This window comes from Homo sapiens, chromosome 7 (genome assembly GCF_000001405.40).
Source record: "Homo sapiens chromosome 7, GRCh38.p14 Primary Assembly".
Classification (NCBI taxonomy): domain Eukaryota; kingdom Metazoa; phylum Chordata; class Mammalia; order Primates; family Hominidae; genus Homo; species Homo sapiens.
The window spans coordinates 26338242-26365800 of NC_000007.14; the positions used below are offsets into that span (position 1 = coordinate 26338242).

At 42.4% G+C, this 27559-nt stretch overlaps 1 protein-coding gene across 11 annotated transcripts in view, besides 2 other annotated features; it reads left to right on the plus strand.

Annotated features, from left to right (window-relative positions):
- The window catches only part of SNX10 (sorting nexin 10), an 82522-nt gene that overhangs the window by 46380 nt on the left and 8583 nt on the right, over positions 1–27559 (plus strand). For 3 of the 11 annotated variants that reach the window (NM_013322.3, NM_001199835.1, NM_001318199.3), the window contains exons 2-5: positions 8179–8225; positions 22734–22820; positions 26294–26394; positions 26806–26904. In NM_013322.3, coding sequence (NP_037454.2) covers positions 8202–8225; positions 22734–22820; positions 26294–26394; positions 26806–26904 — 311 coding nt within the window. In that variant the 5' untranslated portion in view covers positions 8179–8201. Of the gene's footprint in view, positions 1–6835; positions 7936–8178; positions 8226–14691; positions 14794–15815; positions 15944–18765; positions 18887–22642; positions 22821–26083; positions 26262–26293; positions 26395–26805; positions 26905–27559 lie in introns of those variants that run through there. The other 8 variants (NM_001362754.1, NM_001318198.1, NM_001362753.1 and 5 more) reach the window with 7 other exon arrangements.
- Positions 7366–8293: an enhancer, noted in NCBI's record as "H3K4me1 hESC enhancer chr7:26385227-26386154 (GRCh37/hg19 assembly coordinates)". NCBI's record gives its function as "activates a minimal SCP1, AML or CMV promoter by ChIP-STARR-seq in naive H9 embryonic stem cells {active_cell/tissue: H9 hESC(naive)}" and the evidence as "EXISTENCE:reporter gene assay evidence [ECO:0000049][PMID:30033119]".
- Positions 10220–10369: an enhancer, noted in NCBI's record as "active region_25789". NCBI's record gives its function as "activates an Ori minimal core promoter by ATAC-STARR-seq in GM12878 lymphoblastoid cells {active_cell/tissue: GM12878}" and the evidence as "EXISTENCE:reporter gene assay evidence [ECO:0000049][PMID:35858748]".

Below are 27559 nucleotides of genomic sequence, written 5' to 3' on the forward strand. Positions count from 1 at the left end.
GAGTGGCCTGGATTTCAGGCACATGCCACCATGTCTGGCTAATTTTTGTGTATTTTGTAGAGGTGGGATAGTAACTTCCCAATGAGTTCACCTTGCCCACTGCCTAGACAGAGCCAATTTATAAAGACGGGAATTGAAACGGCGAGAGAGTAATTTACGCAGACCCCGCTGTGTGGGAGACCAGCGTTGTTGCTGTTGTTTTGAGACTGCATCTCGCTCTGTTGCCCAGGCCTGGAGTGCAGTGGCGTGATCTTGGTTCACGCCATTCTCCTACGTCAGCCTCCCGAGTAGCTGGGACTACAGGCGCCCGCCACCACACCTGGCTAATTTTTTGTATTTTTAGTAGAGACGGGGTTTCACCGTGTTGTTAGCCAGGATGGTCTCGATCTCCTGACCTCGTGATCCGCCCACCTCGGCCTCCCAAAGTGCTGGGATTACAGGTGTGAGCCACTGGGCCCGGCCGGATTAGAGTTTTTAAAGACAATTTGGCGGGTAGGAGCTTAGGAAGTAGGGAGTGCTGATTGGTCAGGTTGGAGATGGAATCGTAGGGGGGTCAAAATGAGGTTTTCTTCCTGTCTTCTGTGCCTGGGTGGGATGGCAGAACTGCTTGAGCCAGATTACCACTCTGGGTGATATCAGCTGATCCTTCCAGTGCAGTTGCAGGGTCTGCAAAGTATCTAAAGCATGGATCTTAGGTTTTGCAATAACGATGTTATCCCCAGGAGCAATTTAGGAAGGTTCAGACCCTTGGAGCCAGAGACTACATGGCCCCTAAATTGTAATTTCTAATCTTGTAGCTAATTTGTTAGTTCTGCAAAGGCAGACTGGACCCCAGGCAAGAAAGGGGTCTTTTCGGGAAAGGGCTGTTACCAGTTTTGTTTCAGAGTCAAACCATGAACTGAATTCCTTCCCGAAGTTAGTTCAGCTTATGCCCAGGAATGAATAAGGACATCTTAAGCGTTAGAAGCAAGATGGAGTCGGTTAGGTCTGATTTCTTTCACTGCCATAATTTCCTCAGTTATAATTTTGCAAAGGCGGTTTCAGGATTTCGCCATGCCGCCCAGACTGGTCTCAAACTTTGAGGTCAAGTGATCCTCCCACCTCAGCATCCCAAAGTGCTGGGATTACAGGCATGTGCCCGGTCTTGCATATTTTTTAAATCGGATTTTTTATTTGTATAAATTTATGGGGTTCAAGTGCAATTTTCTTACATGCCAGGTTGCACAGTGGTGAAGTCAGGCATTTAGGGTTTTTTTCTTTGTTTTTGTTTGTTGTTGTTGAGCTTGATCTTTTTTTTTTTTCTTTTTTTTTTGACAGAGTCTCACTCACCCAGGTTGGAGTGCAGTGGCATGATCTCGGCTCACTGTAACCTCTGCCTCCCAAGTTTAAGCGATTCTCCTGCCTCAGCCTCCCGAGTAGCTGGAATTACAGGGTAGCTGGGATTACAGGCGCCTGCCACCATGCCTGGCTAATTTTTCTATTTTTAGTAGAGACGGGGTTTCACCATATTGGCCAGGGTGGAGTCTCGAACTCCTGACCTTGTGATCCACCTGCCTTGGCCTCCCAAAGTACTGGGATTACAGGCGTGAGTCACCCCACCTGGCCGATCTTTTTTTTTTTTTTTTAAATAGTTGGTTCTGAGACTTTGATCTTGCCAAAAGAAAAAGTTACAAAAAATTTTGTTTAAAAATTAAATTGGCTTTTATTAGTGATTCATGAATCAGGGAGCACCTGATCTAAAGATTTAGAAAAAGTCTTTGCCGTTTTTTTTTTAAATAATGATATAAACCATACTTGTTATTCCTTATTTCATCATTTGAAAAAATATGTGATCCTTTCTCACTCCTTACATGTATAGTCCACAAACTTTTGGTCAGTAGTTTACTTGTCAGTGAGATCTCCCATAGGCATATAGACCAAGCCTAGCATTGCAAATGTTTTGGCCTGTTGACCTCAGAAAGGTATTATTAAGGTATAGTATATATAAGTACTGAAGGCACAGTAATGGCTTGCTCTGTAGTAGGGGTCTGCAAACTACTGCCACCAGTTTTTGTAGATAAAGTTTAACTGGAACCCAGCCATGTTCATTCAGTTAGGCATCTGTGAGTGCCTTTTCACTATGCACTGCAGACTTGAGTAGGAGATGCAGAGACCCTGTGGCCTACAAAACCTCAAATATTTACTATCTGACCCTCTACAGAAAAAGATTGCCAAGTGGTACTTTATAGAATTTTATCTTTGCTTCATAGATATTTTGCATTTTATAGAAAAAGTATTCCAAGGTAGAAAATAGAGGAAGCTTTCTCCTCGAGTTTTCGGTTTGGGCAGATCTGTGTACCATGCTCTCAGGGCAGTGGGGTTGTGAAGAGATACACGAGTCTCTCAGATGAGTCTTCAGGACTGCCATGTTTCCCAGGAAGGGGATAACCCATGTGTCTGCTGCCTGTGTGTATCCAGCTGTAATGTCACCAGCAGGTTTGAGAAATCATTCCTGTTGTTTGATGTGGTTGTGCGATTTTATCTTTTTTCATTTGTTTATTTTAGAGACAGAGTCTCGCTCTGTTGTCTAGGCTGGAGTGTAGTGGTGCAAATAGCTCACTGCAGCCTAACCTCCTGGGCTGAAGGGATCCTCCCACCTCAGCCTCCTGAGTAGTTAGGAATACAGGTGTGCACCACCATCCCTGGCTGATTTTTTGTTTTAAAATGAAAAATTCAAACAATGTGGAAACCAAGCCACGCCCAGCTTGATTGTGAGATTTAATGATTCTTGGAATGGGCTGGGTGCGATGACTCACACCTGTTATTGAGCACTTTGGGAGGCTGAGGCAGGAGGATGGCTTGAGGCCAGGAGTTCGAGACCAGCCTGGGCAACATAGGGATATACCATCTCTACAAAAATTTAAAAAAATTAGTCAGGCATGGTGGCTTGTTCCTGTAGTCTCGGCTGCTAGGGAGGCTGAGGTGGGAGGATCACTTGAGCCTAGGAATCTGAGGCAACAGTGAGCTATAATTGTGCCACTGCATTCTAGCCTGGGTGACAGTGAGACCCTGTCTCTAAAATGAAATAAAATAAAAATAATAATTCTTACAATGAAGGTAAGAGAGAAGGAGAATGGGTGGCCATCCAGGTGTGATGGGGGTTCTTCATTGGTGGAAGAGAGAGAATACTCTAGAGACAGCCTAGCAGAGGACACTGGGAGGCAGATATCCATACTTGGCATAACAGTCTTTCAGTGAGACAAGAATTCTCTATGTGCATTTTTTTTTTTTTGAGATGGAGTCTCGCTCTGTTGTCCAGGCTGGAGTGCAGTGGTGTGATCTTGACTCACTGCAACCTTGGCTTCCTGGGTTCAAGCAGTTCTCCTGTCTCAGCCTCCCAAGTAGCTGTTTATGCCAGCATGCCCGGCTAATTTTTGTATTTTCAGTAGAGACAGGGTTTCACCATATTGGTCAGGCTGGTCTTGAACTCCTGACCTCAAATTATCTATCTGCTTCAGCCTCCCAAAGTGCTGGGATTACAGGCATGAGCCACCACACCCAGCCCTCTATGTGCATTATTATGACAGACACATAAGGTAGCCTGGGGAGTTTGGAAATCTATACAAACCTAAAATTTTCCAACTCACCTAAAGGGCTTAGTTTTGTCAGGGAGCAATTTCTTTTTCTCTCTCTTTCTCTTTCTGTCCTTCTCCCTTCCCTTCCCTTCCCTCCCCTCCCCTCTTTCTCTGTTTCTCTTCTTTCTCTCTCTCTCTCTCTTTCTTTCTTTCCTTCTTTCCTTTCTTCTTTCTTTTTTTTTTTTTTTTAGATGCAGTCTTGCTCTTGTTGCCCAGGCTGGAGTGCAGTGGCACGATCTTGGCTCACTGCAACCTGCACCTCCCAAGTTCAAGTGATTCTCCTGCCTCAGCCTCCCAAGTAGCTGGGATTATAGGCATGTGCCACCATACCCGGCTGATTTTTGTATTTTTAGTAGAGACGGGGTTTCACCATGTTTGCCAGGCTGGTCTCAAACTCCTGACCTCAGGTGATATGGCTGCCTAGGCCTCCCAAAGTGTTGGGATTACAGGCGTGAGCCACTGCGCCTGGCCTCAGGGAGCAATTTCTGATTGGCAGCTTTGGTTTGCTAAATTATAGACAGTTGACCTTTTATCTCAAACCATACAATTGCGCTGTCATTGAATTTCCTTCTCCCCACCAGTAAATGCCATGGCAAGTTCTAGTACCAAATGATACTTTCTCTTGTGTCATAAAGGTAGCATCTCTTAATACATTTGAATTTGCTATTTATTTTACATGAAATAAAAATAATTTATGTTAAAATTACTATTCTGAGAGCATTATGCTATTTACTGTATTTAAAATAATTATTACTTTAAAAAGTTTAAAATTAATGTTACTAGGAAAATTCAGACAATATGGAAGTGTATAGAGCTTAGAAAATGACATGATCACCATTTTCACTGTACAGATTTACAGTATTAGAGGTTGACCATGATAGTTCACTGTGATGTTTTGGAACAACTGGTTGAAACTGCTTTCAACTTTCCCAAGTTTCCTATTTTCTTTTTTATTTTCTTTTTTATATTTTGAGACAGGGTCTCACTGTAACCCAGGCTGGAGTGCAGTGGCATGATCATGGCTCACCGCAGCGTTGACCTCCCAGGCTCAAGCAGTCCTCCCACCTCAGCCTCCCAAGTAGTAGCTGGGACCACAGGCGCATGCTATCATGCCCAGCTAATTTTTGTATTTTTTGTAGAGATGGGGTTTCGCCATGTTATCCAGGCTGGTCTTGAACTCCTAAGTGATCTGCCCGCCTCAACCTCCCAAAGTGCTGAGATTACAGGTGTGAGCCCCCGGGGCCAGTTTCCTACTTCATAGTTGGACTTGGTCTGTAGCATCTTAAGGTGGCCAATTATCAGACTCCTATTAGATAGAACTGCAGAGTTCTGCCTGGCTGGGAAAAGCTCAAGCCCTTTGGGGAAATTTAAGACCCCAACTTTGAACCATTTGTTCACATTACAGAGTCATGGAGGCAGCCTGTGGCATTGGAAGGCCACCCTAGGGAAGCAGACTGGCTTTGGTTGCAGTGGAACTTGAGCACTTGCACTCTTTCATAGTGTGACCTTGGGCAACTTAACCCCTTAACCCCTCTGACCTTCCGCTTTCTTGTGAAGTGGGGATATTCAAATCCTCACAGGACAGTTGTGAAGTTTAATTACACAAGGAAACACAGCTATGCCCTGGTGGAGAAATTCAGTCAAATGGGAGAGACAGAGGGTATCTAAACATCATGATGCAAGCGAAGTTAATGGCACCAGGGGACTGCACAGCACGCGGTTGTGTAATGGGGCAGAGAGCCCGGGAAGTGATTTCTGTGCAGAATCCTGGCAGAGTTTGCTGGTGCCTGGAAAGGGTGAAAGTATGAGGGTAGAGGTTCAGCCGTGTGGAGCACGTGATGTGTGTGGGGAGCATGGGCAGATCCTGAGATGGTGGAACCCACCGGCTAACTTGGCTCTGGTGCAGGAATCCCATGATAACCGGACTTGAGCCGCTCCTCCTCCTGGCCTCCTCCCCTTGGCATGACCCAGGCCTTCTGTGTAGAGGGCCTTTTTCCTTTTGCTTTCCTGGCTATCTCACACCATCCTTTAGGCCTCAGCGGAAGTGCCATTTTCTCAGTAAACCCTCTCCACCCCCACTTAGTCCCTCCATTCTTTAAAGTTTTGTTTTAAATGGTAAAAAACACACAACCTAAAATGTACCATCTGATCCATTTCTAGGTGTACAGTTCAGTGGTGTGAAGGATGTTCACATTGTTGTGCCGTTGATCTCCTGAACTCTTTTCATCTTGCACAACTGAAACTCTGTACCCACTCAGCTGCCCCCCACCCCCTCTCCCTCCCATACTTGGCAGCCACCATTCTACTTTCTGTCTCTGAATTTTTTTTTTTTTTTTTTTTGAGATGAGGTCTCTCACTCAAGCTGGAGTGCAGTAGCACAGTCTCAGCTCACTGCAACTTTTGCTTCCCAGGCTCAAGTGATCCTCCTACCTCAGCCTCCTGAGTAGCTGAGACCACGGGCGTGCCATGACTCCCGGATAAGTTTTTGTTTTTGGTAGAGTTGGGGTTTTGCCCTGTTGGCCAGGCTGGTCTCTAACTCCTGACCTCAGGTAATCTGCTTGCCTTGGCCTCCCAAAGTGCTAGGATTACAGGTGTGAGCCACCACCTGGCCTCTGCCTCTGAATGTGACTGCTCTTGGTACTTCATACAAGTGGAATCATACGGTGTCTGTCTTTTTGTGACTGGCTTATTTCATTTGGCCTGTGTCCTCCAGGTTTATCCCTGTTGTGTGTTTTTCCATTCCTATCACACGGTGTCCTTTCCTATCAGTTCCACATTATAATTAGGAAGTCGCCTCCAAAGCTCTGAGCCTGCTGTGTACTCCACCGTGTGTCCTGCTTGCACCTCAGCCCATGGCACATAGCAGGAGCTCCACAAAGAGTGACTGAACGGAATCTCCAGTTCCAACCCCAGTCTGTCTTTCCAACCTAATCTCGACTGGTCCCCTCTTGACTAGCTTCTTATAGCTGCGGCAATAAGTTACCACAAGCTTGATATTTAGAACAGCAGAAATTTATTCTGTTACAATTTGGGATGCTGGAAGTCCAAAATCCAGGTGGCAGCAGAGCCCTGCTCCCCTGCAGAGGCCCTAGGGCAGAATCCCCGCCTTGCTTCTTCCAGCCCCAGGGGCTCCATGGCTGGGGGCTGCATCCCTCCCCCTCCTCCGTCTTCGTCTTCACATGTTCTTCTCTGTGTTCTCCTCTCTTTCTCTTATATGGGCACTTGCCATCAGATTTAGGGTTCACTCCAGTCATCCAGGATGATTTTATCTTGAGATTCTTAATTATGTCTCCAAAGACTCTTTTTTCAAATAAAGTCACATTCACAGGTTCTGTGGATCAGGACATGGACCTATCTTTATGGCAGCCACAATTCCACCCCACTACACCCTCTGAGAACCCTGTCCCCCAGCTGATCTGGCCTGGTCACGATCTCTGGACCATAGGGCACGCTTTTCACCAGGCTCTGTGGGTGTTGTTGTTGCTCCTCCGCTCCCCTGGAGGTCCTGCTTTTTTTCCTTGAACACTGCGATCCCCTGCTCTCCCATTCCCTCTCCATGGGTCCTCTGACTGCTCCAGGGGAGAGGGACTCCCTTCCTCTTGGAAAGCTTCCTGCTGCTGCTCGGGTGCAGCTCGCTTGCCCCTTCCAGAGGCCCTGTGGGGTCTCTCGTCTGCACCTCCACACGGCCCTGGAAGCGGAGCCTGTGTTCCTGCTTCCCTGTGTTCCCTATGGTGCCAGTGACATGAGTATAGAGACTCTGGGAATACGTGTGGGGGATAATAGGGACCCGGAAAGTGGGCTCAGACACATACTGATATTATCAAAGTGAAGGCAAATAGTAGACCTGCAGTCATAGTCACCCTCAGTTGTAAGAATACATATGTGTGGATATAGGCAGGGAATTTAAATTTGCTTTTTGTTTTTGGCAGGGAGCAGGTGTTAAATCTAATGAGCTTACATACCAAGTGGGTTTAAAGAACAATTGACAACCCCAGAGACATGCAGGGCCTGGAATCAAACAACAGGCTGGCTGCACTGCTCAGAAGGTCAGAGTCAAGGTCCTGGCTTTATCCCGCTGAGGGCCACACCATCTCTTATGTGACCTCTGGAGTAATATAAGTGTCACAGGAAGGGCCTGATCCCAGAAGGTTTGAGTTTCCGGTAAAAGCGTCAGGGCTGCCTCTGGTGGTGGATCTCTCTGCGCGTCTTTTCCAGCCAGCATCCCCCCGCACATGGCTTCTGCTCCCCGGCATCTCCAGCTTCCTCGCCAATTCACTAAGGCTCCAGCCCCAGCCTGACTGGCTGGCCTTGCGGTTTGAAGGTCTGTCATCATCCAGCTGCCTTGGACTCTTTGGGGTCCAGACTCCTAACCCCTGGTGTGGACTGATGTTCACCTTGGTCCTGCCAGCAGGAGAGGGCAGCGTGGGAGGAGCAGAGGCTCACATGTCAGGGACTGTGGGGCGGGGGGGGCTCTGTCAGGGGATTTGGGTGGGAGGCCATGAGTGGTGTATCCACTCCAGTTTGGAGGTTCCAAATGACCCAGTGTGGATATCTTATTTTTCAGATTGATCGTGTCCTGTGCTGAAGATGTTTCCGGAACAACAGAAAGAGGTATGTCATCACAAATCCAAAAATAAATAACCCACTTATTTTGATTCACACAGGTTAGTTCTTCATTTGCGAACCATAAACCCATGGGTTGCTTGAGGAGGTTTCATGAAAGACCAAAGGCCCACCCTCCTGTACCTGCTCCTCTACTCCCACCATTGGTGCCTGCATAGCCTTCATTTTGGGTTCCAGTGACTCAGCTGTGGAGCACATTCCCACCCACAGCTCGTGACTCAGAATTCTCCCAGGCTCTGCCTCCCACCCCTTGGCTTGGAGCAGTATCCATCCAGTCTGCCTTCCTGCTTTTTTACTCCATTGACTCATCCCTGAATTCTCCTTCCTTCAGGTAGCAGCCCAGGGGAATTTCTGCCATTAGTTTCAGGTTTGCCCCACTTGTTGCCTGGGCTTGGTTTCATACAACACTGGCAAAACTGGCCCTTCTGCCTGCAGCCTGGCTTCCCAGGCCTCCATGCCCGCCCCCTGAGCCTCTCCCTGACTGGGAGGAGCGTAGGACAGCCCTCATGCCAGCCCCGGCTGAGTGTCCCTCCTTTGGCAGTACGCATTGCCCTGCCTGCTGTGGTGCAGTGCACATCATCACTTGGTGAGGCTGATGAAGTGGAGAAGCAGCACAGGGGCCTGTCTAGGGAGTGTGCACACACACGTGCACACACATGCACACGAGTCACACATTCACACAGTCACATGGTCCCAGCTCACCCTGCACAAGTGGAAAGCATGAAACCATTTATTTCAGAGAATCTTTCCAGAAAGTCCTTTGCTAGCTCTCACATCTTTAATTTCAGCCCTATCTTTGGCTTCAGGTTCTTCTCAGCAGTCCAGCCTTGCTTGCATCCCTTAACTCTAGGCTGGGCTTCCCCATTTTCAAAGGCAGTGTTTTGGTTTGTTTTTTAACTTTTAAAAATTGGGCTAGACGGGCATGGTGGCCTGTGCCTGTGGTCCTATGTACTCAGGAGGCTGAGGTGGGAGGATTGCTTGAGCCTGGGAGCCAGAGGTTGCAGTGAGCCAAGATTACGCCACCACACTTCAGCCCCGGCGACAGAGCAAGACCCTGTCTCAAACGAAAAACCAAAAACCAAAATAATTGGCTGGGCACCATGACTCATGCCTGTAATCCCAGCACTTTGGGAGACCGAGGTGGTTGGATTACTTGAGGTCAGGAGTTCGAGACCAGCCTGTCCAACATGGGGAAACCCCATCTCTACTAAAAATACCAAAATTAGCTGGGCGTAGTGGCATGCGTCTGTAGTTCCAGCTACTTGGGAGGCTGAGGCACAAGAATCTCTTGAACCTGGGAGGTGGAGGTTGCAGTGGGCTGAGATCATGCCACTGCACTCCAGCCTGGGTGACAAAGCGAGACTCTGTCTCAGAAAAAACCCACAAAAAACAAAAAAATTGGGCTATAATATGTATAGTAAAATGCATAAAGTGTTCCAATCTTATGTATGTAGCTCAATGGATTTTTGTCTTTTTGTTTTAGTAGAGACAGGGTCTCTCTTTGTTGCCTAGATTGGTCTCGAACTTCTGGCTTCAAGCAGTCCTCCTGCCTCAGCCTCCCAAAGAGCTGGGATTGCAGACATGAGCCACTGATCATGGCCTAAATGGATTTTTATATACCTGTGTAACTACCACTCAGATCAAAGTATAGATGTTTCTGGCTCCCCAGAAGGTACCGTGTGCCCTTTTCCAGTCAGTCCCCCTCACTTCCACCCCTAGAGGTGACCTTCCACAATACCTATACCAGGCATGCTTTTTTCCATCTCATTTTAAGTAATCCTGAGACCAAGCTGCTTGTTCCGGGAAATACCCGCCCATGAAGTTAATGAAACTGCAAGGTTAAGGGCATAGTTCCCACAGGACTGCCCTTGTCTTCAACACCAATTGCAAGCTTGGGGCTTTCCTGAACCACCTTCAAGTTTAATAATTCACAAGAAAAACTCACAGAACTCAGAGCTATTATCCTCACAGACGCTGCTTTTTATAGAGAAAGAACACAAACGAGAACCAGCCAAAGCAAGAGCTGGACGCATGGGCAGTCAGGTGGGGTCCAAGGACAGAGCTTCTGGTCGTCCTCCCAAAGGAGCCATGGGCGGAGTTATCCTCCCAGCACCCATGTGTGGCAGTGTGCAGAGTCACTTGGTGTAGCTGGAATGATCGCCTGGCGTCAAATCCATTGCCCTTAGAACAAAGTCAAAACACCTGCACGTGGTCTCTAGCACTCTGCAGGATCCAAACCTCCTTCTTTCTCCAGACTTCTTTCCTGTGCCCCACCTACCACTCCAGTGCACTTCTTGTTCCTTATTTCAGAGCTTATTTTAGAGCCTTGAATGCTCCATGCACTCTGACCCCCATGGACTTTTACAGATGTTTTTTTCCACTGCCTGGAATAATCTCTTCCCCTAGCCTTTGTACTGTGTTGACTGGCTAACTTCTACTTATCCTTCAGGCATTGGCTTAGAAGTCAAGAAGAAGCTTTCTAAACCTTTAACTATAAAAGATATTTTTATCTAATCAGCTCCTCAACAGCACCCTGTAGTCAATGCCAGTTAGAAATAGAGAAGGTTTAGGTCAAGCCTTTCATATCCTAGTGTCTGGTTGTTTAGTGGAAAGTAATTCAGGTTCCACCTAATCGAATATGTAAGGACCAAATGCAGTATGACTGATTGTTTTGGAATCTAGACCAAGGGTACAGTGAGTATGGAAGCACTTTTCTCTCAGTACCCACAGCAAACATTACTAATTAATCATGAGGTTGGCACGTGAATTGAGATTTATTTACCATCCTCGTAACAAGATTCATACAGCCTGGGAGTGACATCTTGGTTCTGTCTAAATGGTAGTACTGACCTTAAAATTTAGTAATTTTTTTTTTTTTTTTACATTTTGGGGGTGAGGAATCAAATGTAGTCTCTCTTGTTAAAACAGCTTTATGACTGTAATAAATCTAGAAAGAGGAGAAAAGGGAGTGAGAATCTCCCTTGTTAGTTAAGCATGTTCCATTTGCACATTGGTTTGAATTCCCAGGAGAGCAGTATCCGAGCTGATGGATCTTCTCCATAAAAAGGCCTTGGCATTGGGCCATTGTGAAATTAAAATGAATTCAGAGTCATTCATGCATGCAACTTTAATTTACAATTAAAATATTATGGTTACATATTTTAATAAGAATAATTAGATGGACCCAACTGAATCAACTCTTCTGTTTAATGAGACAGAACCCAGACTCCAAATGGAAAGGCAGGTGGCTGTGACAGGAAGCGCATTTCAGACAGTGTCTTTTGTGGAGCTAGGCATTTTTATTCTTTTTATATTCGAATGTCCAGAGTGAGCTGTTTGATTTTTCTACACTACTCAGGATGCTTGCCTCAGCCTTGCTGAACTCATCTTGTGGGGTGTATGAGTGAGCATTTGCTCCAGCTGCACACAGTCCCTTTCATGGAGTCGGACATTCTTGCCCAAGCGCCTGCTCCCTCCTCCATAAGGGCACTGGGCTCTTTCCTTGGCACAGGGCTCACTTGGTGTAACTAGACTGTTCCTCCCTGTGTGATGTGACCTGAAGTGTGGGCTGAAACCCCTTTTGAATGTATGTGTGCATGCGTGCATATCTCCCCTGCTCTCCTGGATCATGATGGCTGCATTCTACTTTTAGAGATTCATCCCTTTAGGATAACTGATTTTCCCCTTCCCAAATGCACATGCTTCATACTAGGTATAACAGCAGCTTCTAGGCAACTCCAGTTATTGACACCTTAGCGATGATATATCCATCACTTCTTTGGCAGGGAATATCCTGAGTAGGACAGGCCGAAGTGGGCCCCAGAGAGTTGCACAAACCATGAGGACCCCACCACTGAGGGAGGAGATGGGGCACTATGGGGAGAGCCGGCAGGGAGGGATGTGTTGCCATTTTGGATGAGCAGCCCCTAAGGTTAATATTAATATGTCTAAGATATGCTTATGCTGACCCATGGTAATATTTTGGACTTCCTCTAGGAAAGCATGCTTTTGATATTCGGAAACTGACTGGAAACTGACTGGTCTGGAACTGATGAATACCTTTAACAAATAAATAATATTAGCTAGGATCCTGTGATGCTGGGTACTTTGATGGGAAGCAACAAGACAGAACATTTTCTCACTCCCCAAAACCTAAATTTGTTGTTCCTCTCTCCCTCCTTTCTTCCTCCCTTTTTCCCCTCCCACCCTCCCTCCCTCCATTTTTCTCAGTCTCTGTTATACTCAGTTATTAAGTGTTCCTGTTTGAAAAAATAGTTAAGTTTCCATAAGAGGCAATTTACAGTCTTCTGTAAGCAAAGAAAGGCAGCTGGGAATATTGTCTTCACACATACACACCAGGTTTCAGAGAAGGCTGTTACCATTCTGAGCGCTACATTAGTGTTACAGGTACTGTGAGGACTCTGATATTTTTTTCTGAGCTTGTCCCAGAGAAAGATCTTCATTCCTTTTTTTTTTCTTAACTCTTCTTCCAGATTTTAAAATAATTGTTCACTGCAGAACATTTTTGGAAAAGTATACAGGAAAAAATAAAACTTTGAGCTATTTCTTTCTAGTCTTTTTCTATATATATGTATATGTCATTTTTAGAAAATTGAGATCATACAGAATTTATAGTTTAATATCTCACTCTTCCAGCTCAGTGTTCTAACACATTTCAAGAAATACTTCACCAGCTCTGATTAAATTAGAAGTGGCTTAGGAAAAGAAAGAATTAGTAAACATAAATTCATCTTTGAATTGTTAAGAAATGAACAAAGAATAACTTTACAGTGGAGAAATCTGACAAACACTTCCTCAGCCAGGTGATCACTGTTAACACCCACAGTGATGTTATGTTGCTAGCATGTGGAAGTGATATCACCTGGAAGTGATAAAAATGGCACTTTACCCTCTGAAATAGGTAGCCTTCCTTCCAAAAACCTATAACACCAATCTAATCATGAGACAAACATCAGACAAATCTGCAGAATACCTGCGAGGGCTCCTCAAATTGTCAAGGTCATGAAAAACAAGGAATGCCTGAGAAGCTGTCATAGCCAAGAGGAGCCCAAGGAAACACAATGACCAAATATAATGTATCTCGAGTGGGATCCTGGAACAACAGATTAATGACATTAGGTGAAAACTAAAGCAATCAAGCAGTCTGGTTTTTTTTTTTTGTTTTTTTTTTTTTTTGAGACCGAGTCTCTCTCTGTCGCCCAGGCTGGAGTGCAGTGGTGCGATCTCGACTCACTGCAAGCTCCACCTCCCGGGTTCACACCATTCTCCTGCCTCAGCCTCCTGAGTAGCTGGGACTACAGGTGCCTGCCACCACGCCCAGCCAATTTTTTGTATTTTTAGTAGAGGCGGGGTTTCACCATGTTAGCCAGGATGGTCTAGATCTCCTGACCTCGTGATCCGCCCGCCTCGGCCTCCCAAAGTGCTGGGATTACAGGTGTGAGCCACTGTGCCCGACCAGCAATCTTAATGAAGTATGGACTTCAGTTAATAATAACATGTCAATATTGATTAATGAATTGTTACAAAGGCAGCATGCTAATATAAAATGTTAATAATAGGGGAAGCTGGGTGTGGGATATGTAGGACCACTCTGTACTATCTTCATAATTTCTCTATATCTAAAACTGTTTAAAATAAAAAGTTTATTTTAAAACAAATATCATTGACATATATATGCTCACATAAAAAGATTCTGAAAGATTGTATAGTGAATAAACCAATAAACAAAATAGTATTTATAAATGTAGGTTATGCTCCTGTTTGTGTTAAAAAATTGCATAAAGCTGGGTGTGTTGGTGCATGCATGTAATTCCAGCTACTTGGCCAAGGCGAGATCACTTGAGCCCAGGAGTTCAAGGCTGCATTGAGCGATCATCAATAGCCACAACATTCCACCCTATGCAATGGAGTAAGACCTTGCCTCTTCAACCCCCAAAACAAAAAAATACGCAAGGTAGAGATGATAATAAAATGAACCCCCATATGTGTACCTACCAACCAGCTTCAACAATTTACTAACTCATTATTAACTCATAGCCGAGCTATATCCCCACCCCACCTATTTCCTCCTGCTACCACAGTCAATTATTTGGAAACAAATTCTAGATATTATATAATTTCATCTGTAAATATTTCAGTATGCATTTCTAACAAATGACCTTTTTAAAAAATGAACCACATAATCACATGTTAAATAATTAAACAATTCCTTCATATCATCAAATATTCAATGTGCAAATTACCTTGATTATTTTGAAAAAAATTATATACTTGGTTGTTCTAATTCTCTATTTAATTAGGATTCAGATAAGGACCACACATTGCATTTGGTTGATACATTGTTTAAAGTCTTTAATTCTCTCTTTTCCCCCTTTTGCAATTTATTTGTGGAAGAAATTGCATCTTTTGCCTTATGGAGGTTTTCACATTCTAGATTTTGCTGATTGCATCCTTGTGGATGCCAATTATTTCTTACTGCAGAAGAGGAGGTTTTTTTTTTCTGCACTTTTCCTGATGTGTTACAAGATATGAAAAGGTAACTCGCTGATTTGGGATACTACTTGTGTAAAGAAACTTGCAACATTGTGAGCTATTATAAGTCATGTAAAAGGCAGGTCTAGCTAAATCTCATTCACAGTTGTTTATCCTGAAGTAATAAAAGCTTCTCAAAAAATCATCATTCAGTACCACCAGAGGATGGTATTTAAACATACTCCATGCTGTAGAGTGGCAAGTAATATCCCTTGTCATATGTCTCTTAAGTTATTTGTTACAGCTGTTATTAGGAAATAAAGAAAGGTTGCTTGATATATTCCTTTTGCCCTTCTATTTTGTTATTTGTAAAGAATATAGTATATGAAATGTGCTAGATTTTAGTTGTGAAATTGTTATATGGGGGTCCTGAATAGCACTCTGGTGATTAACACACTGGTAAATGCTTTTTTTTTTTTTTTTTTTTTTTGGTGGGGAGACAGAGTCTTGGTCTGTCGGCCAGGCTGGAGTGCAGTGGCACGATCTCAGTTGCTCACTGCAACCTCCGCCTCCCAGACTCACGCAATTCTCCTGCCTCAGCCTCCCGAGTAGCTGGGATTACAAGTGTGTGCCACCACACCTGGCTAATTTTTGTATTTTTAGCAGAGACGGGGTTTCACCATGTTGGCCAGGCTGTTCTCAAACTCCTCACCTCAGGTAATCTGCCTGCCTTGGCCTCCCAAAGTGCTGGGATTATAGGCTTGAGCCACCACGCCCAGCCCACACTGGTAAATTCTATAATCATTAGTTGTATGGAAAAGTACCTAGCGCATTGTTGTTGCACAATATATTTTAAGTGAATGAATGAGTCTCCAGTGTAAATACATGAACATGTAAAACACTACTTTGAAATAGGAAAAAAAATGTCCCAAGAAAAAGAACAAACTGAGACAAGTTTACATTTTTATGTTAGAAAATTCTCATCAAAGCTATGAAAAATTAGTATTCACTTAACACCTAGACATTCTGCTTTATTAGCTTTCGTCTTTTGTGATCTTTCTGTAATCTAAGTAAATATTTTTACAGTTAACACCTACTCATCTTTACTGTGCTACAAAGATTCAAACTAAGCTATGATGGAAAATTTTAAAAAACACACCTATCACAATGGCTAAAATAAAAAATAGTGATAATCCCCCTGGAAACTGTAATAGGTATGTATGATATATCATTGTAGGGTTAATTGTATTTCCCTAGTGGTTAACGATGTCGAACATCTTTCTACGTGCTTGTTTGCCATCTGTATGCCCTATTTGGGTGAAATGTCTCTTCATATCTTTTGCTTGTTTTCTAATTGAATTCTATTTTTTAAATAAGAGTAAGTGAATGAGTGTTTTGAGACAGGGTCTCTCTTGTTGAGGCTGGAGTGCAGTGGTGTGATCTCAGCTCACTGCAACCTCCCACCCACCCACCAGGCTCAAGCAATCCTCCCACCTCAGCTTCCTGAGTAGCTGGGACTACAAGTGTGAGCCAGTACACTCAGCTAATTTTTAATTAGTTTTTAAATGTTTGTTTAAATGTTTGTTTAATTAGTTTTTAAATGTTTCACCATGTTTCCCAGGCTGGTCTTGAACTCCTGAGCTCAAGTGATCCTCCCACCTTGGCCTCCCAAAGTGCTGGGATTACAGGAGAGAGCCACCTCACCCGTCTGATAGTTTTGTTTTTTTTTAAAATATATTCTAGATGCAAGTCCTTTATGGGATGTGTAGTTTGCAAATATTTCTTCAATCTTTAATTTGCCCTTTTAACCTTATTCACGGCATCTTTTGCAAAGCAAAGATTTTTAGTTTGGTGAAGCCTAATTGATCACTTTTTCCTTATGTGGATTGCCCTTTTGAGATAAGTTGAAGAACTCTTCTCCTAGTCCTAGGCCGAAAGATTTTCTTTGATTTTTTTTTTTTCTAAAAGTTTTTCTAAAAGTTTTCTCTGATGTTTTGTGTTTGACATTTACATCTGTGGTTTGGTTGGTGTTGATTTTTGTATAAGGTGCACGCTTTAGGTTGAGGTTCATCTCTTGGCCTGTGGATGTCCAGTTGTTCCATAATCATTTGTTGAGAGGCTTTTCCTTCTCCTTTGAATTGTTTTTGCACCTTTGTCAAAAATCAGGTGGGCGTATTTGTGTAGGTCTCCCTCTGGGTTTTCTGTTCTCTTTCACTGATCTTCTGTGTCTATCCCTCTCTAGGACTCCATTGTCTTGCTGCTGTAGCCTTAACATTGGGAAGAAGGCTTCCTCCCACTTTATTCTTTTTCAAAAATTTTTTGGCTATTCTAAGACATTTCCCTTTCCATATAAATTTTAGAATAAGCCCATCTATGTCTTCAAAAAAAGTCTTGCTGAGATTTTTTATAGGAATTGTGTTAAACCTACAGATCAATTTGGGGAGAATTTCTCTCTTTACTATGTTGCGTCTTCCAATTTATGAACATAGTGTGTCTCTGCTTTGATTCCTTTCAATAGCATCTTAGATTTTCAGCATAGAGGACCTCTGCTTTTTAAAAAATCTTGTCAATCAGTTGGTTAATTCTGAAACATTTAATATGCACTTACTATGTGCTAGTACCATGCTTGGTGCTAGAAATACAAAAATGAAATACAAAGCTTTAAGAAGCCAGAAGGACAGAGTTTGAGAAGAGCATGTTGTCTGAACTGGCATTTTAGCTAATAAAAGCAGAAAAAACTTCCCCCTCCAAAACAATACAATTACAGTGAAATTGGAAATTGCCTAATATTTATTATTAGTAAAAGAATCACGAGATAGAACATGTTTGAGAGTACAGTCTTTGGAACAAGGCAGATCTGAGTTTGAAACTTAGCTCAGGCTGGTCATTTGACTTTGGGCCAGTTGCTTAAGCTTTAGAAGCCTCATTTAAAAAATCTGTAAAGTAGGATGAGAATATACTGAGCTCTGAGGGTTGTTGTAAAGATTGAAGAAAACATTTGTGAAACGGTATAATGCCTGCCACATGTCAAGTGCCCTGGTATAATACAATACAGTTATTTTTATTATTAGTTTCATCTCACTTAAGGGCTAAGGAAAAAAATGATAGGGTAGAAGTGGATAATGGTCAAACCTGGGGTGTGGGGATGGGGGAAAAACAGGGAACATTGAAATCAAAGGCTGATTATTATAGGATAACACAGGAATTAGATCTTCAAAGAGTCTAGGAGTCTTTCTTTAGAAGTCTGTTTTCACATGGAGAACAGCAGGGACAGTTAGTCTAAATTTTTAATTCCACTCTGCCTGGCTTTCTCATACTACATATAGTCATTAGGCCCAAGAAGTCATTAAAGTGTTTAATAAGGTTATTAAATTGACTAACTGCAGCTGCTGAAGCAATTTTCCTAGGAAATCCATATGATTCTAGGTAAGGGGCTGTGGAACTGTCCTCTGTGGCTGACAGCCTGTCAACATTCCTTTGAAGGATGGCGGGCAGTGTCGTGAGGGATGCGTCTAATTAAGAGATTAGAGGTGAACCTTGGCTTCCTGGGTGTGCTATTTGTAGCTGAGAGTATGGGGAAACTTCACTAATTCCTACTAATTGCAGAGTGGGGGAGGAGGAGACCCATGTGAATTATAGAATATTTTAAAATAAATGTACTTTTATTACTTTCAAGTACATATTTTAACTCCCACTAGGCCAACAAATTGTTGCCTGGTACAAGTCTTAGGGGACTAAGTTACTGAAGCTATCAGAAGGATTTTCAATTATTTCTATGTAAATAGGTGCTTCTGGAGTTCTTTAGGGTGCTAGAAAACAGTTTGTTCTCCCAGATCTTAAACATTGCTCTTGGATCCTTATGCTGTTAATTGGCACATCCTTAGAGGAAGGGGTTTGTTAAATTAAGATAAACTTAGACCAGCTGCTAAATAACTTATCATTAATTCATGGAGCCCAAGAACCCAAGTAGATGAGGTTTTAATTTCAAGTGAAGTTTGATTTTCCTTTCCTGAAGGCAGTTTGTTTATTCCTACAGGCATTTATTTATTCATTAAATGATACTAATGGAAGGCATTGGATGTATGAGGCATTCAAGTCTTACAAGACAGCCTAAGCTGCCCTACAGGAGCTTAGCGTCTGCTAGAGGAGGCCTACAGGTAATTACAATACAGCACAGTAGGATGTGGTGAGTAGGGACTATGCCCAAGGCAATCCCAGAGACATTAGGGGCCCAGAGGAGGGTCAAATAAGTCATACTGGGTGAATCTGAGAAGGGTTCCCAGAAAAAGTGGTGACCGAGTTGCATTTGAAAAATGAATTGGAGTTGGCAAAAAATAGTAGAAGAAAAGAGAAGATTAAAAAAAAAAAAAAAAAAAGGCAGTAGGGTGGCCTAGCAATCCAGGCAGAGAACAGCTTAGTTAAAGGCATGGAAGTGTGAAGTGGCATGTTGCTTATGGGGACCTATGCTTAGCCTTTGAAGATAAGCAGAGTGAAAATCATGAAAGGCTGTATTGTGCTAGCTGAGGAGTTTGAACTTGAAGGTTATGGGGCAACCTTTGAAGGATTTTCAGAAGGAAAGCAACATCATCAGATACGTGTTTTGGAGCCATTCTTGTCTTCATGTGGGGAATGCACTGGATATGGGCCCCGAAATAAATTAGCAGTTCTTGCATTAATGTTGGGCAAGAGGTCCTTGAACCAAGGCAGTAGCAGAGGGAATAGTTGTCAGTGGTTCCAAGGAGAATGACTATGAAGGACTTGGTCTGTGTGGATTTGGGGAATGAGTCAAACAGAGGGGTCTAGGAGAACTGGGTTTCTAGCTGGGGTTGGTGGGAGATGCTCTTCACTGAGAAGGGGAGCAGGATGCTGTGGGAAGGGTATGGACATGGCGTGCTCAAGGGACTTCTAGGTGGATCAGGCTAGAGGCTGGATCCATGGGAGAGGTGCCTGCACTGGGATGGAGCTTTGGGTGGGGTCCATCAGCTCATGGGAGGGGGTTGAATGTGTTTGGATGAGGTCACCCTAGAATTGCAATAGTGTGCAAAGAACAACAGCCTGGGTTGGCTCTCAGGCACAGAAACGTTTCAGGATGCAGAGAGGGAAGAAGTTTGCCATCCACAAGAGAATAGTGATATTTAGCACTCCAACCAAATTAAAGATTTTCAGGATTGAAACAATATGTGGAGTCTTAGTGCTGCAATGAATTTTGAGTGTGCATTTAAAAGTTTAAGAGACACACACACATACACGGTGACAAGAGATGGAGGTGAAAAGCATAGGCCAAGAGCAGAGTACCTGGATTTTTGCTTCTGTTTCCATCCCTGGGCAGAATCTGCTTTATCACACTGTGATTAGGGGATATTATGGATATTTGGTTTAAAAATGGTTTTTAAATCCCTCTTATAATTTAGAATGTGCTTTTAAGAAATGATGGTTGTCTCTTAATGCGCATGAAAAAAATAAAGAAATAGAGAAGAAGAAATACTGGCTGGGGCACAGTGGCTCATGCCTATAATCCCAGCACTTTGGGAGGCTGAGGCAGGGGTGTTGCTTGAGCCTAGGAGTTCAGAATCAGCCTGGGCAACATAGCAAGACCCCATCTCTAAAAAAATTAAAAAATTAGCTGGGCATGGTGGCACCCGCCTGTAGTCCAGCTACTGGGGGCGGGGTTGGCTAAGGTAGGAGGATCATTTTAGCCCTGGAGTTTGAGGCTGCAGTGAGCTGAGATCGTACCACTGCACTCCAGTCTGGGTGACAGAGTGAGACCCTATCTCAAAAAACAGAAAAAAGAAAAGAAATAATGGCCAAAGAGCATCACTATAGTGTTATCTTGTGTTTTTTTTTTTTTTTTTTTGACCAAGTCTTGCTGTTGTTGGCCCGGGCTGGAGTGCATTTAGTGGCGTGATCTTGCTGCAACCTCCGCCTCCTGGGTTCCAGCAATTTTCCTGCCTCAGCCTCCTGAGTAGCTGAGATTACAGGCGCCCAACACCATGCCCAGCTAATTTTTGTATTTTTAGTAGAGATGGGGTTTCACTATGTTGGCCAGGCTGGTCTCGAACACCCGACCTCTGGTGATCCACCCGCCTCAGCCTCCCAAAGTGCTGGGATTACAGGTGTGAGCCCTGCCTATCTTGTTCTTATTCTATCCCCTAAATGATTTTAAAAATACACAATGAAAATATTTTAAAAGAAGACTTTTTGGAACAGTAATTCATAATCCCTGTCTACTAAAGACAAGTAGTGGGACAGAAGTCTCCAGTGCAAGGACAAAGTGTTGCCCTAGAAGGTGAAACTTGATAGGGGCAAAAGTTATTTTCAGAGTGTGGTGTATTTTTTTGATTAAAAAAAATCCTCTATGATGAAGAGTCTCATTTAATTATCTGCATGATTCAATGGAGGTGCTTTGTCCAGAAAGCCCCCGATCTCTCTTTTTCTTCTGCTCTCAAGCGTTCATAGCCTGCCTCTCAGATGTGCCCCAACAAGCAATAAGAAATGCCTGAATTCCAGCATTGAACTCCCAATCTTATCAAAAAGCTCTAATATTTAAAATCAAACTCAGTTAGCAAGTTTATGATCACTGAGTAAATAAGTTATACTTAAAAACTTATGTGAAACATGATAGTTTTTTGCTGTACATTTTCAAATTTTTAAACTAAACCTATTTAGTAAAGAGCACCTGTTAAAAAGTATTGTTTTAATTTTTTTTTTTTTTGAGACGGAGACTTGCTCTGTCGCCAGGCTGGAGTGCAGTGATGCGATCTCGGCTCACTGCAACCACCGCTTCCTGAGTTAAAGCGATTCTCCTGCCTCACAAGTAGCTGGGACTACAGGCACACGCCACCACGCCCAGCTGATTTTTGTAGTTTTAGTAGAGACAGTGTTTCACCATGTTGGCCAGGATGGGCTCAATCTCTTGACCTTGTGATCTGCCCGCCTCGGCCTCCCAAAGTGCTGGGATTACAGGCGTAAGCCACTGCGCCCGGCCTATTGTTTTAAATTTTGCCCCATGTTTTCTATTCTTATTATCTTTATAAAAGAACAAAATTATCTACTGTATATGATTTTTAATATCCCTAACTTCTATGTATAACACAAAGGTATTATGAAGATGAAATGATTTAATGTAGGGGAAATGTATTTTAAAAATAGAAAAGTATTATGTAAAAGAAGGTGTTCCTCTTTCTATTAATAAGTTATTATCGCTTATTCTCATGTGGCTGGGATGCATGCACAAAGTCAACTTCAACCCTCTTTGCTTACTTTTCCCATGAGCTTTGGTGTCCTTTCTTTTTCTTCTTTTGATACAGGGTCTCGCTCTTTTGCCCAGGCTGGAGTGCAGTGGCACAATCAAGGCTCACTGTAGCCTTGACCTCCTGGGCTCAAGTGATCCACCCTCCTCAGCCTCCTGAGTAGCTGGGACTACAGGCATGCACCACACTGCGCCTGGCTAATTTTGTATTTTTTGTAGAGATGGGGTTTCACCATGTTGCCTAGGCTGGTCTCAAACTCCTGGGCTCAAGAGATCCTTCCAAAGTGCTGGGATTACAGGTGTGAGCCACCCTGCTTGGCCTGGTGCCTTTCTTATTTGTGTCCTAGGAAGCACCTTACCCAGAAGGGCCCATTGTTTCAGTTTAGAGAGATGAAGAAAGTAAGAAATGATCACTTTTTAAATTTGAAAAAAACCTGAACCAATTATTTAAGATTAAAAATTAAAAATCAGTTTTACAGTATACTTTGTCTTCAGATAACCAGTAAAACTATCCAGAAGTGCTCCCACCTCAGTGTTGCATTATTTTAAAAATTCCATTATGTGGCAAAAGTGTGTTCTAGATTTGCTCGTGGTGCCTGATTCATTAACTTTACTTCTTGTTTTTTAAAGGATTACAAGTACCACATTGGTTAAAGCTCATTTCAGTTTTGTTTTAGTGCAGTCGTTTTGTTCAGTTCTTTCCAGTCCTACTTGCAGTTCTGAAGAATATTTCTTTGTTTATGATGCCATTACAGGAATTTGTAAGTGTCTGGGTTCGAGATCCTAGGATTCAGAAGGAGGACTTCTGGCATTCTTACATTGACTATGAGATATGTATTCATGTAAGTATGTAGTCAGTAGAAATAGTAATTTTGAGGGACTTTTATGGGATACATTTTATGGGATAAAGTTGACACTTGTAAAAGTTTTTCTCATTCAAATAACTGAATTTGAATGATTACAACTAATGCTTTTATCTTACATGAACTAGTAAGATGGTTCCTAAAGTTGAAAAATTACTTATTTGAATCCCTTATTGTTCCTTTGTTAATATTAACATTTTAATGTTTATTGCCTTCACATGTGAAGATGTGCACGCATCTAAAATGCATGGGTAAAGAGTACTTATAGCTCATTAATGGCATTTCTTATGATCTGCTATAGCATATTTCTGGATAATATAATGCCTGATAACCTTCAAGTTTGAGAGGATATAGAGTTCTTTGGAAAAGAGATGTGTGGTGTTTTATATATAGAATCAGAAGGTGGGAAATGGATATGTGCAATTATTGTGATTAATTTATCTAGAATCTGAGTAATTAATGTAACGAGTAAGCAACTAGAAATGATGTGCCTTGCGTGGATGCTACTGTATCACAATCTCTTGAAAATGTTGTGTGGTGTGTGGCCTTCTGTGACCATCTTAAACAAGGGTAAGCAAACTTCTCTGTAAAGGTAGTAAATATCTTCAGTTTGTGGGCCATACAGTTTCTGTCGAGACTACTCATTTCTGCTGTTGCAGGTGAAAAGCAGCCACAGACAGTGCATAAATGAATGAGCATAATTGTATTCCAATAAAACTTTATGTGCAAAGACAGGTGTCAGACCAGATTTGGCCCTCAGGCTGTAGTTTATTGGCCCCGATTTTGAGGATAATACTCTTTGCATCTAAACCAGATGCATATCAGATGCAAACTAAATTAGTTCAACTGGGGAGCATAGCAATTGACCCAGATTGTATCCGTGACTTCATAGCACAAGTGAAGTAAAATTTAGCCATTATTTAATCTTCCCATTGTAAATAGCTAACTTGGTATATTGGACACCCAAACACCAGCTGTAGAACTTTTCTTTTTTTAAATTCTCCTTTCTTCTCTTTTTTCTTTGAAGTTTCCCCAACTTTGAAAATAAAAGAAAAACTCAGAACTGCTTTTTTGATTGTGTTGTAAAGCCATTCCAGGATATGCCATGTATTTTGATTCTGTTTTGGTTTTACTTATAAGCTCACACTAGAGTTGCATTCTGTGTGGAAAATTATGACTATATAAGAATAAGCATTTGAAGTAAAATGAAATAGTTTTAGTTGCCTTCTAACTTTCTGTAAAAAAATTGTGCGTCCTTATCACACACTTCATGATAGGCATGAAATTTAATTATTCCCAGGAATTAATGAAAGTATAGATTCTGCTCTGCTCTATAAATAGCCTGATGTAAATTCAGAAATCTCCATCTGGAGCCAGAAATGATGGGTTCCACAAATACTATTTGATGGTGTCCTGGCACTTTTCTGAAATGCTAATAAATTGACAATGGATAAGCCTTGGCTTGGTGGACAGCAAAAACAAGCAAATAGATTTATTAGAGGAACTTAATCAGTTAGTGATCTCAGTATCCTCTAATCTTGAAGAGACTTCCACCTGTCATACAATTAAAAGTGGATGGCAGAGCTAGGGAGTTCTGGTTGGCTTCTCTTAGTTGTTAACCCATAGAGCTTTGGAGGTAGAGAAGCTGGTCTTTAACTTGTTTAAATTAACCTCAAGGGAGATGATGTCACACAACTCTGGGATCTTAACATTTACTTGGAATTTTAAATTAGTAGACCCTAGAGCTGGGTAGCCATCATAAATACTCCCCTGAACCTGCCCTGCAAATGAAGGACTTATGGATCGACCTTAGTCTGGTGTAGGTACCAGGTGGATTTTTAGTTATTGACAACCATGGTGGTTGTGAGCAGAGAAATTAAAGGGAATTTAAATGGACCCAGCCTGTGTGTGAGATGTCAGGAATCCCTGTGGTGGTCTGGGATTCTTTAGGGAGAGGGTACCGGGAAGATAACCTGCTCAAGCCTTGTTAGGGGACTAGTTCTGGTATAACATGGTCTGCAAACCTAGTCCCCAAGGAGCACAGTAGAGTGAGGCCCTGGTGTGTTATAAGTCCACCCACAGGATGTTATTTGCCACAAACTCCTTCCAGCGGGTTTTGCTGCCATATCGTTAAAGATAATGGGATTTAGACCAGTGGCTACCTTGGGGATAAGCCTTTTAACCTGTCTACATTCTGAAGTTTTCTGAACTTTACAAAGCATAAGCATACCAGGAACCATGTCATATATTTCATGAGAACAGTTTGAGAGCTAATGCACATAATTACTTAGATTTCCCAAGGAAAACAATCGCTGGGCATATTAAGTGATAGAATAATAATTTTTGAAATAGTACTGATCTTGGGGGTAAAGAATTGTTTCTCATTTAGATTAGAAAATCGGATTTTGAAATACAGAGACTAGAGATACTCATATTTTCAAAAATCAGGAGAAACAAATATTTTGGTAGTCGCTTGTTTTACTCAAAGGAGAATATTTACTCTCGTCTTATGTTTACTCAAAGGAGAATATTTACTCTCGTCTTATGTTTACGCAAAGGAGAATATTTACTCTCGTCTTATGTTTACCCAAAGGAGAAGCATTGTGGCTGAGCTTAGCATGGGGACACCATCGGTGGCTTTTTCCAAGTCTGCCTTAGGATAGCTGGAAGGAAACCAACACTTAGTAACTAACAGTATTATTAATAGATAACATTGGTCAAGTGCTTATTATCAATCCTCACAACCACCCTGTGAATTAGATATATACTAGTTCATCCCATTTTAGTACTGAGGAAACTGAAGTTTGAGTGACTTGCCCTGTAGCAGAACCAGGACTGGAATTCCGGTCGGCCTGTCCTCTATGCCAGATGTTTATCCCCACGTACCACGGTCATTCTCTGGCTCGGACGGACACGCTCCCTCTCACATACAGTAGAGAAGGGAATGCTGTTCTCTAGGATTTCTGGTGATTTGTATGATCTGCAGGGTGGCCATGTCAAGGAGATGAAGATTTCTGCAATGTCTCATAAAGGGTCATGAGGAGGTGTCTCTAAGCCCCAAAGTTTCCTCCAGCTTACGTGGATGGTGGTAAAATGCAACGGATGAACCTGAGCTCCTACCTGTCATTTATATGTTAGGATTTATTTTTTATGATTTATTCTTGAAAGCAGTGCTCATAGGTGAGTAGGAGGCTCCTTCAGGATGCAGGGAGTGGCCAGGTCATACCTCACCCTGGGGCAACACTGCTTATTTCCATCATCCTGGCTGTCTTCAGGGCTGTTATGTTCCTGGGTTATGTGCAAGATTTCAGAGTACTGGCATAAATATAAATATATGTTTGGTGGTTTAAATCCTATTTAGAGTGAATGTTGAGATCATATTGTGAATTATAGATACAAGAAATGCATTTTTTTCCTCAGGTAAGACTCATTTTTCTACTTTCTCTGTACAGACTAATAGCATGTGTTTTACAATGAAAACATCCTGTGTACGAAGAAGATATAGAGAATTCGTGTGGCTGAGGCAGAGACTCCAAAGTAATGCGTTGCTGGTGTAAGTGATTTAGAGTATACTGTGGAGACTTTGTCATTATATTCAGTATTTAAAATTGACGTTCATTAAGATATATAAGATATGAAGGATTTTTATAGGCTTTTGCCTTGATTACAATATGTAGCTTTAGTTTCTTAGCTACTGCATCTGAATTTAAAATTTATCACTTAAATTTCACCAACTTTGATGGGTATAGGCCATGAAAGGCCTCAGAAATGTTTAAAGATGGGTTTTTCTTTAAGCTGACTTCCTGATACCCTTATTATATAACTATATAATGTATAATCATAATTATAGAATAACTGTGTGATAATAATCATCATACATAATTTGCCTTCACTTTGAGGGATTTCTGTAACAGAAGCACCTTGAGTTAATCATTTAAAAACATTGTTTTTTCTTTCTCCTAAGACAACTGCCAGAACTTCCATCTAAAAACCTGTTTTTCAACATGAACAATCGCCAGCACGTGGATCAGCGTCGCCAGGGTCTGGAAGATTTCCTCAGAAAGTGAGTGTCCAGAAACTTTTGTGGCCAGACAAGGGGTGTGAGCAAGTGCTTTACAAGAGCTGCATGGTGGTGTGGGGAAGAGTGTTCCTGTTTCTGAAATGCAAATAATCTGCACTAGAGCAAAACCCAGTGGCCCATTTCCTATATTAGAGCACCATCTTGTGGCTCACATCATCTCGTACATATTTGGGACCAAGTCTTCTAGAAAGAAAACAATGAACAAATTGAATTAAATATCTGGTCCTTTAAGCTGTCAAGCAGATCTAAATTACCTGGGCGTTTAGCTGACAAAAGTAAAAATTTGCCAGGAAACAAATATGCCTAATCATCAAAAGGCACTTCTTAAAAACTGTCTTTCTTTACAATGCTTAGAATTTACAGACCAAAATCAGCTCAGTAACGGGCTGCTAATATCCTTCTGGGTTCCTCTAATAGTTTAACGCTGATCTTTGAAGGGAATGTTTATAAAGGAGTATTTGGTGGCGTGTGAACAGTCTCAGTGAGTTATTAACTCTGGATTACTCTGTGATGGTGGGTATTGCCGTTAAAGCTGCCTGAGTTCACACTACCAGTGATTTCCCTCCCCCAATCCACTCTCTGGAATGCTGGAATACCCAGAATGCTAGAGGCCATATAGCACGCTGATTTACACCTA